The 14,967-nt window shown below is 36.4% G+C and overlaps 1 protein-coding gene across 5 annotated transcripts in view, besides 4 other annotated features; it reads right to left on the reverse strand.

Moving 5' to 3' along the window:
- Window positions 366–455: a silencer, noted in NCBI's record as "silent region_12152". NCBI's record gives its function as "represses an Ori minimal core promoter by ATAC-STARR-seq in GM12878 lymphoblastoid cells {active_cell/tissue: GM12878}" and the evidence as "EXISTENCE:reporter gene assay evidence [ECO:0000049][PMID:35858748]".
- Window positions 2,733–2,782: an enhancer, noted in NCBI's record as "active region_16819". NCBI's record gives its function as "activates an Ori minimal core promoter by ATAC-STARR-seq in GM12878 lymphoblastoid cells {active_cell/tissue: GM12878}" and the evidence as "EXISTENCE:reporter gene assay evidence [ECO:0000049][PMID:35858748]".
- The window catches only part of SESTD1 (SEC14 and spectrin domain containing 1), a 163,155-nt gene continuing 154,170 nt past the window's right edge, over window positions 5,983–14,967 (reverse strand). For all 5 annotated transcript variants that reach the window (NM_178123.5, XM_047446274.1, XM_047446273.1 and 2 more), the window contains one exon: window positions 5,983–14,333. In NM_178123.5, the coding sequence (NP_835224.3) occupies window positions 14,204–14,333 (130 nt within the window). In that variant the 3' untranslated portion in view covers window positions 5,983–14,203. The remainder of the gene's footprint in view (window positions 14,334–14,967) is intronic.
- Window positions 10,833–11,033: a silencer, noted in NCBI's record as "peak3949 fragment used in MPRA reporter construct". NCBI's record gives its function as "represses an SCP1 promoter by STARR-seq MPRAs in K562 erythroleukemia cells {active_cell/tissue: K562}" and the evidence as "EXISTENCE:reporter gene assay evidence [ECO:0000049][PMID:32103011]".
- Window positions 12,113–12,313: a silencer, noted in NCBI's record as "peak3950 fragment used in MPRA reporter construct". NCBI's record gives its function as "represses an SCP1 promoter by STARR-seq MPRAs in K562 erythroleukemia cells {active_cell/tissue: K562}" and the evidence as "EXISTENCE:reporter gene assay evidence [ECO:0000049][PMID:32103011]".

Below are 14,967 nucleotides of genomic sequence, written 5' to 3' on the forward strand. Positions count from 1 at the left end.
TTTTCCTGGGTCATCTTGATACTTGTAGATGTACATCTGTGTCTGGGCATTGAAAAGTTAGTTTTTTTTTGTTTGTTTGTTTTGTTTTTTTTTTGTAGTCTTCTCAGTCTGGGCTTGTTTGCAACTGTAGTTTTTGGGAAGGCTTTCCAGATATTTTAAAAGGCTTGGGTGTTCTGATCTAAGCTGCATCTGCTTTAGGGCAGACCCCAAACCCAGTAGTGCTGTGGTTCTTGCAGACTCATAAAAGTACCACCTTGATGGTCTTGGCCAAGATAAAGAATTCTCTGGATTACCAGGCAGAGACTCTTTCTTGTTCTCTTCCCTTACTTTCTCCCAAATAGTCTCTTTCTACCCTGAGCCACCTGAAGTTGGGGGTGGAGTGACACAAGCACCCTGGTGGCCACCATCCCTAGGATTCTGCTAATTCAGACCTGAAGCCAGCACAACACTGCTGTATGCAAAGTCTGCTGTAACCACTTCCTGGCTAACACCTATGTTCACTCAAAGCCCTGGGGCTCTATAATCAGCAGGTGCCAAGGCCAGTCACACCTATGTTGTTCTTTCATTTAGGGTGGTGAGTTCCCCCAGGCTCCCGGGTGAATCCAGAGATGCCATCCAGGAGCTATGGTCTAGAGTCAAAAACCTTAGAAGTGCACCTGGTATTTTATTGTACTACAGCTGAGCTGACACTGAAACCACAAGAGGCTGTCCTTCTCATTCTTCCTTCCCCTTTCCGAAGGCAGAGGAAGCTCACCCGGTGGCCATTGCCACCTATTCCATTGTGGTCAGAGAAGGTGCTTGATATTATTTTAATTTTAGGGGGATATTTTCAGGCTTGTTATGTGACCTAACATATGGTCTATCATTGAGAATGATCTGTGTGTTGAGGAAAAGGCCCATGGGGAGTACTGCCAGACTACCACTGATGTTCTCTTAAGGCCCAAGGGCTCTTCAGTCAGCTTGTAGTGAGTGCTGCCTGGCCTGGGACTCATCTTTCAGAGCAATGGGCTCTCCTCTGGCCCAGGGCAGGTCCAGAAATGCCATCCAAGACCTAAGTCCTAGAACTGGGGGCCCCAAGAGCCTGTTTGGTGCTCTAGCCTGCTGTGGCTGAGCAGGTATGTAAGGTGCAAGACAAAGTCCCCTTTACTTTTCCCTCTGCTTTTCTCAATCAGAAGTCTCACCCTTTAGACACCACACCTGGGAATATGCTGAGACTCATTTGTGGCTGGTAAGGCTCTGTCTCACCCAAGGCCCTTGACATAGTACCTGGGTATTGCTGCTGGTTATTCAGGACTCAAGGGCTATTCAGTTACCGGGTAATAAGCCCTGCCAGTACTGGGTCCTTCCCTTCAAGGCAGTGGTTCCCTTCTGGCCTAGGGTTGTGTCTAGAAATGTCCAGGAGGTAGGGCCTGGAATAGGGTTCTTACGACTTGGATTGCTGCCCTGTTCTGCTGTGGCTGAGCTGGTATTTAAGATGCAATACAAAGTCTGCCCCACTCTTCCATCTTCTCTCTTCAAGTGCAAGAAAGGGTTCTCTTTTGGAGTTGCCTGGGGTTAGGGGAGGGGTGATGCTAGCACTCCCTTAGTCACCCCAGCTGGTGTCTCAGTATGTCCCATGTCCCTCCAGGCCACAGGCTCTGGGCCCAGTTCAGACCCAGGACTCATTTATGTATTACAGTTCTTGTGGCCTAGACAGCCTTTCAAGTTTATTTGGGACCCCAAATCCCTTAAGCCTACAATGATGAGGTTTGCAGGAACTCATGTTCCAACCTCTGGGATCTGCGATTCCCCTCTGGCTAGGACTGGTTTACATGCACCCTCCAGGGTGGGCATCAGCTGAGTTGGGTCTGGTTTTGCTTTCTGCTATAAAAGCAGCACTGATTTCAATACCTCACAATTGCTGTGCTTTCCCTCTCCCCAGGGCACAGAAGGCACAAGGTTCTCTTCACCTTGTTGCCACTTTCAGGGGATAGAGGAGGAGGTGGTGTCAGTAATCCAAGACTGTTCATTCTACCTCTTCATTGCCTCTTTTAGCGATATGAAGTTAAAACCAGGTACTTACTGTGAGTGCTCACCTGATTTTTTGTTCTTATGAAGGTGCTTTTTTTGTGTGTGTAGATATTTTTTAAACTGATGTCCTTGCAGGGGGCTTGAGGGGGAACAATTGGTGAAGACTTCTATTCCACCGTCTTGCTTTACCCACTCCACCTGCCTCACGTTTTAAATGCCATGCAAATTATCATTTTCTTTTTCAACAAATACTTACTGAGCACTTTTGATGTACCAGACATTGACTTAAGCACCAGGAAAACATCAGGGAAGAAGACAAATGGGATCCCTGCCCTCAGGAGCTTGCTGTCTAGGAAGCTCAGAGAAAATAATATCAATATAGGGCACTGATCGTGTGCCAGCTACCCTGCTGAAGATTTGTTTTACATAATGTCACTTAATTACTAGAGAAACACTGAAGTATTTTCTATATTAATGCCATTTTATTGAGGACATTGACCTAGAAACGTTAAATAACTTATCCAAAATCACAAGGATAATATGGCTTAACTCATGCCAACTTAACACCAAAAATAGAATTCTGAACCACTGGCTCTAAATTATGAAACCCCAAAGCCTGTGTTCTGTTTTCTGTGTCACACTGTCTAAAGTAAATCTGATTTTGAGTAACTATTGGAACAATGATAAATGATTTTACCAAACTGAAAAATTAAACATGTATTACTAATTTCAGGATAGGTCAGGTGAACCTTGTACTTGTGAATTCTTTCGACCATCAATCCAACTACAACAGAATCTGTTGCACTTTGTTAGTGTGAGCACCTGGGTTTCTGTCTCGGTCTATTTCTTCTGTTATTAGTGTTGATACACCATTCTGGTTTTGTATGTCTTTGTTGATCTCATGGGTCAGGCCTTATTGTTTGTGTGTTTTGCATGTTATATTCAAATATACTACTGTAAATATGCTTCATATGTTTGTAAATATAATCAGTAAATGAAATACTATAATCATTACTATTCCATTCCTTTCACAAATCTTGTTATTTCTCCATTTTTTTCCTTCCCTTCCATTTTGTGCTATTCTCTTGCTGTTTGATCTTTTCTGTTGTACTTTTTCCTCTCTGCATTCTGCACAGGTTCTCTCTCTCTGCTATACAGCTACTACTTCTTCACTTCCCTTGTTTTGACTAAAATACCTCTAAGCCTATAACCTTTTTCTTTACTACATAAATTCGCTGGCATCTATACTCACCATGCCACCAAAAAAATTCTTTCAGTAGGAAAAGCTGTTTCTCTGCAATGCTACAAAAAATAACTTTTTATTTTTTGTTTGTCTTACTTTTAAAGCAATACTAAAAGCACTATGGTATAGGCAAAATTATAAACAAACTGATCAACAGGACAGAACAGCTAGCCTAGAAGTAGCCCCAGAAAACTTAAGAACTCAACTCTATATATTTTCAAAGGAGTTTCAGAAATCAATGGGAGGGATAGATTATCCAATAAGTTATGTTGAGAACATTTGATATGTGGAAAAATGTATCATATTATATCACCACCTCACACAAGGCACCAAAATTTTTTCTGAATGTAGGAGTCTAGAGTAAAAAAAAACTGCACAGGAGAAATAAAATTTAAGCTGAGGAAAGATTTTCTAGTCATTAAGGCAATATAAAAATATCAAGGTCTGTAAATAAATTTCACCATAAATATGAGCATAACATCACCAAACTTCATAAAGATAGAATAAATAACAAACTAGGAAAAATACTTGTTCAAATATGATGGATTATTAGCCTTATTTAAAAAAAAACTCTTCAAACAAATAAGAAAAAAAGCTAACTCCAAAGGAAAAGTATGCAAAAATAGTAACAGACAAGTCACCAGAAGGGAAACACAATGGATAATAATAAATCATTAAATTTGTTTCAGCCTCACTGGTGGTTAAAGAAATGTACAGTGAACTGGTTTTCTCAAAGATTTGTAAAGACTTTAAAAAGAACACCACTTCATGCTGGAAATAGTGCCATGAGACAGGCACCCTGTTTTTTTTTTTGTGTGTGTGAGCTTCTTATTATTATTATACTTTAAGTTTTAGGGTACATGAGCACAATGTGCCGGTTAGTTACATATGTATACATGTGCCATGCTGGTGTGCTGCACTCATTAACTTGTCATTTAGCATTAGGTATATCTCCTAATGCTATCCCTCCCACCTCCCCCCACCCCACAACAGTCCCCAGAGTGTGATGTTCCCCTTCCTGTGTCCATGTGTTCTCATTGTTCAATTCCCATCTATGAGTGAGAACATGCGGTGTTTGGTTTTTTGTCCTTGCGATAGTTTACTGAGAATGATGATTTCCAATTTCATCCATGTCCCTACAAAGGACATGAACTCATCATTTTTTATGGCTGCATAGTATTCCATGGTGTATATGTGCCACATTTTCTTAATCCAGTCTATCAGGCACCCTAACTGTTAACAGACACATACATCTACCTAACCTTCTGGAAAGCAATTTGGCCATATCTATTAAAAGCCTCAAAATATGCATACATTCCAATCCAATATTTCTACTTTCAGGAATCAATCCCAAGGAGAGATGCTGTCAAAAAGTTAAGAGCAAGGATGTTCATTGCAGCATTACTTATAGTACCGTTAAGAAAGAAAGAGAAAGAAACTAAATGTTTCACCTAATAGTTTAATAGTTAAATCATGGTATTTACATATTATTGACTATTACACAGCTATTGACTTAAACTGGAAAAAAGTTTAATAATTTTTTTATGATATAATAGCTGTAAAAAGCAGGAAATAAAGTTGAATGCTAGCATACTCGTTAGGTTAAATACAAAGGAAATGTATCAAATATTAACTATGTTCTCAGCACTGATAAATAATGGGCAGTTTTCACTTTTTATATTTTTCTCTATTTACTAGAGTACTTTAAAAATAATAACTACACATTATTCTTAAACAGAAATTTAAATAATAAAGCATAAAGGAATTAGTTATTTCCAGTTGAAAACAACCTTCCCTTAGTGATGAGATGCTGGAAAATGACAGTTCAGGCTTCACTCTGTTTTGAATTTGCTAAAATTTACCATAGATTGGATGTGCTAATCTTTCAGAACGTGTTAATTTCATAAACATGTTTGGTTTCTCTAGTCCCTATAAGTATATAATTCCCAAAATGCCATCTCTGTATTCTTCTATTCAAATTAGAGAAATTAGGTAATTTGCAGGATGATCAGACATTGTCTCTGAAAAGTTTATATATTGAAGTTTTTATAAAAGGTATTCTAGAATCTTGCAGTCAGAAGTGTGGTCTGCAGACTGGCAGCAGCAGCAGCAGCTAGAAACTTGTTGAAAATGCAAAACTTTTGGTCCTACCCCAGATTTACTGAATCAGAATCTGCATTTTAGTAACACTTCCAGTTGATTTGTAGGCACACTCATATTTGATAACCACTGGTATAGAACACATATTCTAGTTCTAACTACATGGCTACAATGCAACTATAGTCCTCCTTCAAAACTTAATCTATGTTCATGTCCTAAGTACCATCTTTATGGTCTATGAGTTCTAAACATTTTCTTAGAACAAGAGTGGCTTCCAACTAATGAGTGGGATATATCCTAAAAATATATTGGTAGGTCAGTTGTTAACTTATACAGTAATATAATTAATGCTAGATTTCTAGGTCATCTTACAGTAGCTTGCATAACCCATAATATAGTTGAAGAAGAGGACTAATTGCATTTTAATCATTTTTTTATGGGAAAATATGTTCCCAGTTCTAACAGAAGATTCTAGGAAAGCCTGATACTGCCATCAATACAGGACTCCCAGATGGATGCAACTATTAGTATTTGTGTATGTGTAGACAATTAGTAGAGCTGATTTTCCGATTCTGAAAATTTTCTAAACAAAAGAATAAAATGTATTAAAAAGACAGGAATGTCAAGTGTTGATATTGACTCATTCACATTTTCTCCCAATTTTATTTTGAACAAACACAATGGTAAGATCACTTCAATGGTTTGAAACAGGTTTGTGGATACAATGAAGCATCTAATGGAAAACCTAGAGATGGATGGATACTCTAACATGTAAAGTAAACATGTCCATTAATAACAAATGTACAATGTCTTCTATATATTTTTTTGCTTGTATGTTGAACTGTCACTCAAATGTACTTAACTTCATTGGACAAGGTATAAGGCTTGCCAATTTCCAAAGTCTGGCAGTCCAAAATCCTTAGTAGCCATTCTGGAACTGCTATTGTTTATAGCATGATATGATTGTGTTATTTTAAATACAGCTTTGTTGTAATATGCCTCCTCCATCCCTAAATACACATTCACCTTTGATGCCTTAAAAATGGACTTCTCAGTAGGAACAATGGAAATTTCACCACTGTCTATTATGGTGAGAACCTATTTCTGACAACATGAGACGTAGAGAAAGCACTGAACTTCTGTGCCAAGCCTGTGGGAAGGGATTGTTGGGGTCACGGGAGAGGGAAGCAGAAGCCTCTGTCTTCTAAGACTCCAGGTTATTTCAGAATATACAAGTTACATTTTTGATTTAATGAAAGGTTTTAGGTAACACTGTTAGAAACAATTTAAACCTTTACAAAAAATAACTCAAATTGATTCAAAGATGCAGAATTCATCAGATTATCTTATAGAGACCAGTGTGACTTAATTCTCCCTAGATTTTATGAACAACTTTTATTAACAGAAATCAAACTTATTGTCCAAAGTGACAATATATCAAAGAAATACATACCAAAACCTGCTGCCATTATAGTTGTTAACATTTTTATTGCATATTTACAATGTGTGGAACATTATAAGGATTTACAGTAGAAGCCAAATTTCCCAGCCCTTAAAATTTTAATAGGAAAAATCGAATAAACCATACATATTTTTGAAAATGAGCATTAGAAACACACAGATGATTATAATTCTATAGACTAATACAGGTGAATGCTGTATGTAATAGAACAGCTGGGAGAGGTAAAAGAGTGGATAAGAGAGTCATCAGAGTGTGAAAAAACTACAGCTGGGTGGTATTGAATAAAGAGACAATATTGAAAATATTTTTAAACGCTAAAATGTCCCGTAAAAGCATAGCTATCCCCTATGCAAAACTGTGAGGTAGAATTTTTCCCACCCCGTTTTCTGCTCTTCTGGCCACCATTTGGGGGACTTCCCTGTCCAGGTGACTCTCTCTCACATAGCTGTACCTGGGGCTTACTAGCAATACATGCTTTCCACTACCCCCTCAACCTCATCACAGAAATAACCTTTTCTGTTCAATGATCAGTCTTACTTTACCTACTGAAAACGGGTGGTGAAAGTTAGTAACATAAACAAACCAGTGCTGTTTCTTCTAGCTAACATATCACCATGGTTGGGCTTTAACCTTTCAAGGAGTGAAATATTGCTAAAGTTTCAGGCATAGGAACCCCTTGAGGAGCTGTCTGGGGCAGACAGGTCTTTGCTTTCCTCAGATAGTTCCAATTGTCATCCTTGACCATGAACAATGCCATTGTTATTCCAAACTCACTTCTTCTAATACTTCAATATGGATCATAAAAATAGTTTACACCTTTATGCACATCAAAATACAAAATACAGGGCACAATAAAACTGAACTGGAAAAAGGTATGGCAGTTTCTTTTAAAACTACCCTGTGACCCAGCAATTCTAATCCAAGGAATTTACTGCAAAGAAATGAAAACCTATGTTCACAAAGACTTACGTAAGAATGGTCATAGCAGCTTTATTTATAATGGCCAATCCTGGAAACAGCCCAGGTATCTATCAATAATAGGAAATTAAGAAAACAAACTGTAATATTGTCATACAGTGGAATACTACTCAGCAATAAAAAAGAACAGCAATAAAAAAATGAAGCCTTGTAGAAAAGCGTACATGTTGCGTGACTCTATTTATATAAAGTTTTAGAACAGAAAAATCTTATGGTAGAAAAAGGAACAGTGGTTGCCTTTGAGGGTCAAGTAGGGACAGGAATTGACTGGAAAGGGCAGTGTGGAAACTTTCTAGGGTGGTGATAACGTTTCCTATTTCCATAGCACTATATGCATTTGCCAAACCTCAGTGAACACATATTTCTATGCACTTCATTGCATGCTAATTTTATGTAAAAAAGCCAACAATGAACTCTAGTTAATGATATGCAATTTAAAATGCATCAAATAATAATATGAAATGATGAATGGATATGTGACAAAGCAAGCATAGGTAATGCTAATTAGCATCTAGGTAGTGAGTACACTATAAAATTATTTTAACTTTTTAATGTATTTGATAATTTTCATAACAAGATGTTGGGTAAAAATACAGGGTGCAATGTTTACCAAATAGTTTTGCTGAGAATTTCATTACTGATTTTATGACAGTAAGATCATCAAATTCTTCTAAGTGTCCATTGAGAAGTAAGTTTCTCTTAAAGGCTTCTGAGACTATTCGTAAGTGTGATGTGAGCAATCAGTTCTCAAATCTACTCTGGTTTATAACTGTCAAAGTGGTATTTCGATCCTTTCACCTTTACAAAATACAATACATATATTTTGATGATATATTCTGAGCAAATCTGTTGGCCATAAAGATAACATAAGAGTTAAGATGAGAAAACATTCCTAAGAGAAAAATCAAACATACAAATTTTATTTACCCTAACTTCCAGACTAAAAAAGAATCTGTAACTGTAATAGAAAAGAAGTGAGGCTTGGTCATAAATAGTGAGTGGTCTACTGTGTTCTGAGTGGAAAGGCACCCAGTCATCTCTCATCTCTCCCCCAAGACAGAAGCATTTGGACACCCTAAAGACATGGTATTCAGCTTGTGAAGACTTCTAAGGTGCCTCCTGGAGATTCACTGGGAACTGGCTGGAGTTCAATAGCCCTTTTGTCAGAAAGTTTTCTACATGCCTAACTTAAAATCCCTAATAACACTGCTCCTGATAAGTAGCAGTTGATAACTACTTTCAGTTAAGAATTCCTATAAAATTACATATAGGAATTATACATACAGCCTCATAAAGTTCTCCAAAAAAAATCTTTAAAAATGTGCCCACTGCTTTCAAAATATTTCATCATAGTTCTGGCTGTCTTTTGATCTCTAAGTTCTTCATGTTCTAGTACAGGTTCTGCTTTTTCTTGAAGTAGAGGGACTAGTGTTTATTCTCAAGCTTTCATGTTTGCTTTAAAATTCTGCAGTAATGTTGAGTCATATTAAGTGTCATACCCATGAACTTTTTTCAGTCTTAAAGACTCCCCTGTATTTATGCCAGCTCACGGAGTGTCCTTAGTTCTATGCCTCTATTACAGTATCAGTCGGCCATTTTCTGTTCATCATCACTGCCTGAGTTTACCAAGAGACTGCTCCTCTCTAAGCATAGCCAGCACTAATTGTGGTCTTTTCATGCTTTGTTCTGTTTTTTTTTTTTTTTTAACCTCATTATTGGGATACTTAAATAACAGATTTATGCTGTTGTTGTTTCTACTGGTCGGTGCTCGCTCACTAATATCCAATCCTAGTATGATTTTCTTTTACTTGTGTCTATTAACAGGGTTATGTCACACCTTGTCAACCTCAAAACAGATGATACTCATCACTTGTCTTCCATCTTGCTGTTCTATTATCTTCCTACAAAAATAGCTAATTTGTCAGATTTCAAAGCCTTGTTATTTACTGATGAGCTTACCAACTGGACCTTTTGTATCTTCAGTGTGTAATTCTGAAGATGCATTCTGATACACTAGTGAACTGGGGGTGACGGTGAAGGGGTGGTGGAACTAAGGGGGTGGGGCGGCGAACATAGGCAATATGCCATTTCCTCACCATCCCATGCTTGTCATGTGAGACAACAGAAAGGATAAAGAATACTCTATTTTTTATTCTGAAAAGATAATTATAGCAATGATACCTTCCATTCTGTTTATTTCTGGATATTTTGGCTTCAACAATTCTTTATATCATATTTTATTCTTGAAATTGGTATGACTTCTCTGTTTTACAGCCTGAGATAAATTCTCAGATATTTTTTTAACAGTAAATGGCAAAGCCAGATTTTTGAAGCCAAGTATTCAAGCTCCAAACACTTTCCATTATATTCATTACAGTTCTTGTTTTAGCTGGTATGTTCTTTCCTCTACAAGTACTGCCATTATTTATGCTTCTTAGCTAAACCTAGACTTTTCAGTAGCATGTATGAAAGTCAAATAATGTCAAATGGTAAGTTTCTACTTCATTTTATCTCATCAGGGTATTTGTTGCTCTATATACCAGCATAGTATATTTTCTACTCCCAACTGAAGCTTTTCATTTTTAGGACTGAACGTTAACAATAAGTCTACTAATTAGGTTAACTGCTTAGCTATGTTCCAGCCATGTTTTTAATGCTAGAGAATTTTTCCTTTGGGGGCTTAAGCAAAGATATCCTAATCATACAGATCTCACTACTGATGATAATATACTTAATGGTGCTTGTTTCTGCCTGTACCATTCCCTATAGGCTGAAGATGTAAAGGACATTAGCAACCACAGTATGTTTAGTTTTTAGTAGCAACAGTATTTTACTACGGCCTTGTGTACTTTGGGTAGGATGTGAGAAGGGGAGTAGTACATAATAATGCCCAATCTCTATTAGCAAGTAACTTACAATGTAGTAGAGAATTCTGAACTATTTCTTCAAATGTAGACCATAGATTCAGCTAACTTCATAATCACATCATTGGTAACAATGGGTTTAGATCAGAGTATGGTTTACTCATCACTGTTAGTAAGGTAACTTAATTGTCATGCTCACGCTAAGGAGTACGACACTAATAATACCACTCCGTATGTCAGCTAATAAGATAACGAAATAACAAACATGTTAAGACTAGCTAACACATGGGAGCAATAGCCAATGTAAATTTGTATAAAGTGAGAAGTATTCAATCTTCTACCTAACAATGAAGCCTAGACCTGCCATCAATATCCCAGCTGGCAGGCTGAGCAGTTTCATCAACATCACCAATGAGTCACCAGAACTGAACAAAGTGACCAACAATGAGGACTGGGAACAAAGCCAATTTGACCTAAAATGAAGTCATCATTTTTGCATAACTCTGCTGGGTTAGACATGTGCGAAGAACAGATGCCAAACTGCCATTATATATTAAGCTTACACAGGAGCAAACAAATGATAAAAGAAAAAAAAAATCCTCAAACAAACAAAAAAACCCAAAAAAACCAAAACAAAATGAAACTAACCCTGCCAGCGTTTCAATAATTCCCTGAGATGGGCTAAAGGAATGTGGGAGGTTGTGACATATATACCAATTACAAATGAGTGGTTCTTTCAGAGACTTGCAAGCTGATGTTAATTTATGACATAGAAACAGCTTGTGGTTTCAAACACACTGCAGTCACTTTTTTCACACGTTTACCTTAAGTGAGCTTTGACCCTATGGAAGAAAGTTGCTTTAGGGCATTACTGGATTTTCATTCATAACTCTATGTACAGATACACATATGAAAGCAGCAGCAAATTTACAGATGAGGAGCAATGATATTCATTATGTTAAAATCATACTTGGCCTCATGTGAAACACTCAATTTACAAGTAACATTTATGAATCCTGCCTTATTTTACTTTTTGTAGGCAAGATAGCTTAAGGTATATAAAAATTAACTCATTTGGCAATTATAACTCCATGAGTTGATGGCAGAATTACTAACAAACCAGTTCCTTTCTAGCAAAGTCTTAAGAAAAACATTCTAACTACTCTGAAATTCAGAAGAAACAGATATTGAGTATTGATATTTAGTTATTGAGTATAACTAAATATCTAAAGTAGTTAGTATCTAAGAATCTAAGAATAGATTCACTTGTAAGTCAGTTCTAACTTTAAAAAAGTATGTTTAAAACATACTTCAGACTGCAATGTAACAGGGATTATTACTAATGCCTATAATACAGCATTCATATTTAGGAGGAATGGGCATCTGTTATGCATGAGCAAGACTGGGAATAGGAGAAGACAAGATTCCTTCCCTCAAAAGAGCTTACTGGGTACAGACATAAACAACTGTAGAATGTGATAGCACCATCATGAAGACTGAAATAAATAATCACAAAAGTTCATACTCATAGCAGTAAAGCCCCAAAGGACTGAGAAGATGATTCAAGTATAGAAAGAACTTCCTGGATGTTCTCAGAAGCAGTGACCACATAAGACAAGAGGGAGCAGTTGAACTTTGCCCTGAACTTCCTGGCATGTTTGACTAGGAAAAAAGGCTGCACCATTAACCTAAATTGTTCCAGGAGGAAAAGGTGATAAATATTGTCAATCTTTAATCAAGGTTGAAATGTCAACTAGGCAATTAAAAAGAAGTACAAGTCTAGATTTCTGGACCAGGTATGTAATCCAGAACATTGGTATAAAATAAAAACTCTAAGGATGAGATACCGAGAAAAGAGCCAAAAGCATTCTGAGGACAGGATCTGAGAGAGCACATGTTCAGCAGGCACATCTTAAATTAGGGTTATGCGACTGTACTCACAGTTATTTCAGAGGATAGCATCTTCAAGGAAGGAGACACTGTCTAGGAAAGGTTGCTCAATGGTGTAAATGTTGCAGAGAAAAGGGTAAGGGATTCAGACGGAGAAAAAAACCATTCAGTTTGGTAACTGGGAGGCCATTGCTGACTTTCAAAAGAACAGTTTCAGTAGAGTGCTGTGTAAAACCAGACTGCAAGGTGCTGAGTAGTGAGTGATGAGGATGTAGGGGCACTGGATGTGGATTTCTCCAAGAAGTCTGTCAGTCAGTGAAGAAGGCTGGAAAAACTAGCAGGTTAAAAGGGAGGGGTTTTTTTTTTGCATTGGAAGATACACGAGCATGTTTGTAGACCTCAAAAAGGAACCAGTATACAACTCGTTTATAATTTTGTAATGACTACAAGACTAAAAAATAATTTTTAATATTTTAAAAAATGTTCTGAAATAAAAATACATAAAATTTAAATTATATGCATTTTACCATTTAAACTTAATACAAACTTAAAAGAACTAGCATTTCATGATAAATTTTATTTCTAAAGGGGTCATACAGTTCTGTTATTGGACTACTTCAGAATTTATTTTGCTTTTAGACTATAATGAGAAACTAAATTTTATTAACAATTGCTATTTTAGTTCCTGAAAGATTACTCTGATATAAAGGATTACACTGAAGTAATTATGTATGCCTTCTTCCTCAGCCCTCCTCCCCTAAAGACAAAGTATCTTCAGGGTAGTTAATAATTTTGAGAATATTTTTCAAGTTGAAAAAGAGAAAAATTAGAAATAGTATTCCATTATTAATAAGTTCTTAAAGATCTAAATTGTTCACAATAATTTTTCATGATAAAACATGCTTATTTATTATATACACATGCTTACATATGTATTTCCTGTCTAAAATACATGCAACCACCATGAAAAAACAAATATTAAACCATCCTCACAGTCCTAAGAATGCCCTTTTAAATAAGGCACTCATGTTTGGAAATAGGATGTAACTACTAAATTAAATAAGATGTTTAAAGAAGTCTTTTATTAAGCACAAACAACTTTTAATACATTATCAATACAAATAGGAAAAGGTCTTTTAATGACTATGATATATCAAAGATCTGAAAGGCTTTCTCTGTATTGACACAATAAAAATAATCAATTCTGAAGAATTACAAAGTAAAATTTTGAGGACACCACTGTCTACTAACAAGAGTTTAACTACTGTCTAAATTTACTAAATCACCTGTGGAGGAAGGGCAACTTTTTTTTTTCTTTTTAATAGAGAGAATTCCTACTCTTATTAGCACCATTCAAAGCTTATTATCAGTTGTTTGTCTACAAACTGACAGGTCAGGTAAAGCTTTAAAGCAAGTTTTCAGTGCAATGTTTATAGTTCCTTCTTTTAAGATACTTGGAATCTACAGCCTCGAAGCATGTTAAGTAATTATGCCTTGGTAGTAGCAAGGTGTTAACATGTAAAGAGAAATGTGTCATGAAAAGAAATGAGACTTATTTTGGCTGTGAAATGCATCTTAAGGTGTGGTGGCTAATGCTGTAGTATGTTGACAACATGCGGGATTATGAACTGCAAATCTGTAGGTAGCTGGTAGCTATTAGCTCTCTGTGGTCACCATTTCAGGATGTCTCAGCTGCTGCCTTTTGAGATTAACTAGTTTCATCCTGTCTCTGATGTTTTCTGCAGTAGAAGCCATGTCACTTGGACTCCCAAAATATTGTTCGGTTCTAAAAATCAAAACACACAGAAAAACCTCAGATTAATACAAATCTATTAACTGCAGTGAATACAAATAGAAGCAAAAATTTACCATAAAAAATCTACATGAGATAGCCTATGTGTAAATATCAGTTCATCGGTGATCATACTGTTTGAGCAGGAAATTCAGCAGGAAAAACATTTTTTAAAATGGCATAAAATACATTAAGACATGATGAGAAAAATATATTGATGGTATAAAGGTTATATCATGTGTAGTTATGATAATAGCAACAAATTGAACAATGAAACACTGGAAATATGTGGGTCCAGAAGGATGCACAAACATAAAATTTATACAGGTACTTGAGTGCTACCGGCTGGGGACACCACTTGTCTATAGAGCTGGCAAGCAAAATAAATATTCTTTTTAATGTTATGACATTTTTTGGTACATTAACAGATAAAATTATTAATTTTATTCTACTCTCAAAGATACTGTATTCAGAATCACAGAATATTTTTAGAGCTGGAAGATTTCTTAGAAATTATCAGGTTAATCTCTTTATTTTTCAGATCAGAAAAGTGGAGCCTAGCAAGTTAAATGATGTAAGCAAGGTCACCCAGGGAAAAACCAGAATTTGAACCTAGGTCTTTGAGCAG

Source organism: Homo sapiens, chromosome 2 (assembly GCF_000001405.40).
Source record: "Homo sapiens chromosome 2, GRCh38.p14 Primary Assembly".
In the NCBI taxonomy this organism is placed as follows: Eukaryota; Metazoa; Chordata; class Mammalia; order Primates; family Hominidae; genus Homo; species Homo sapiens.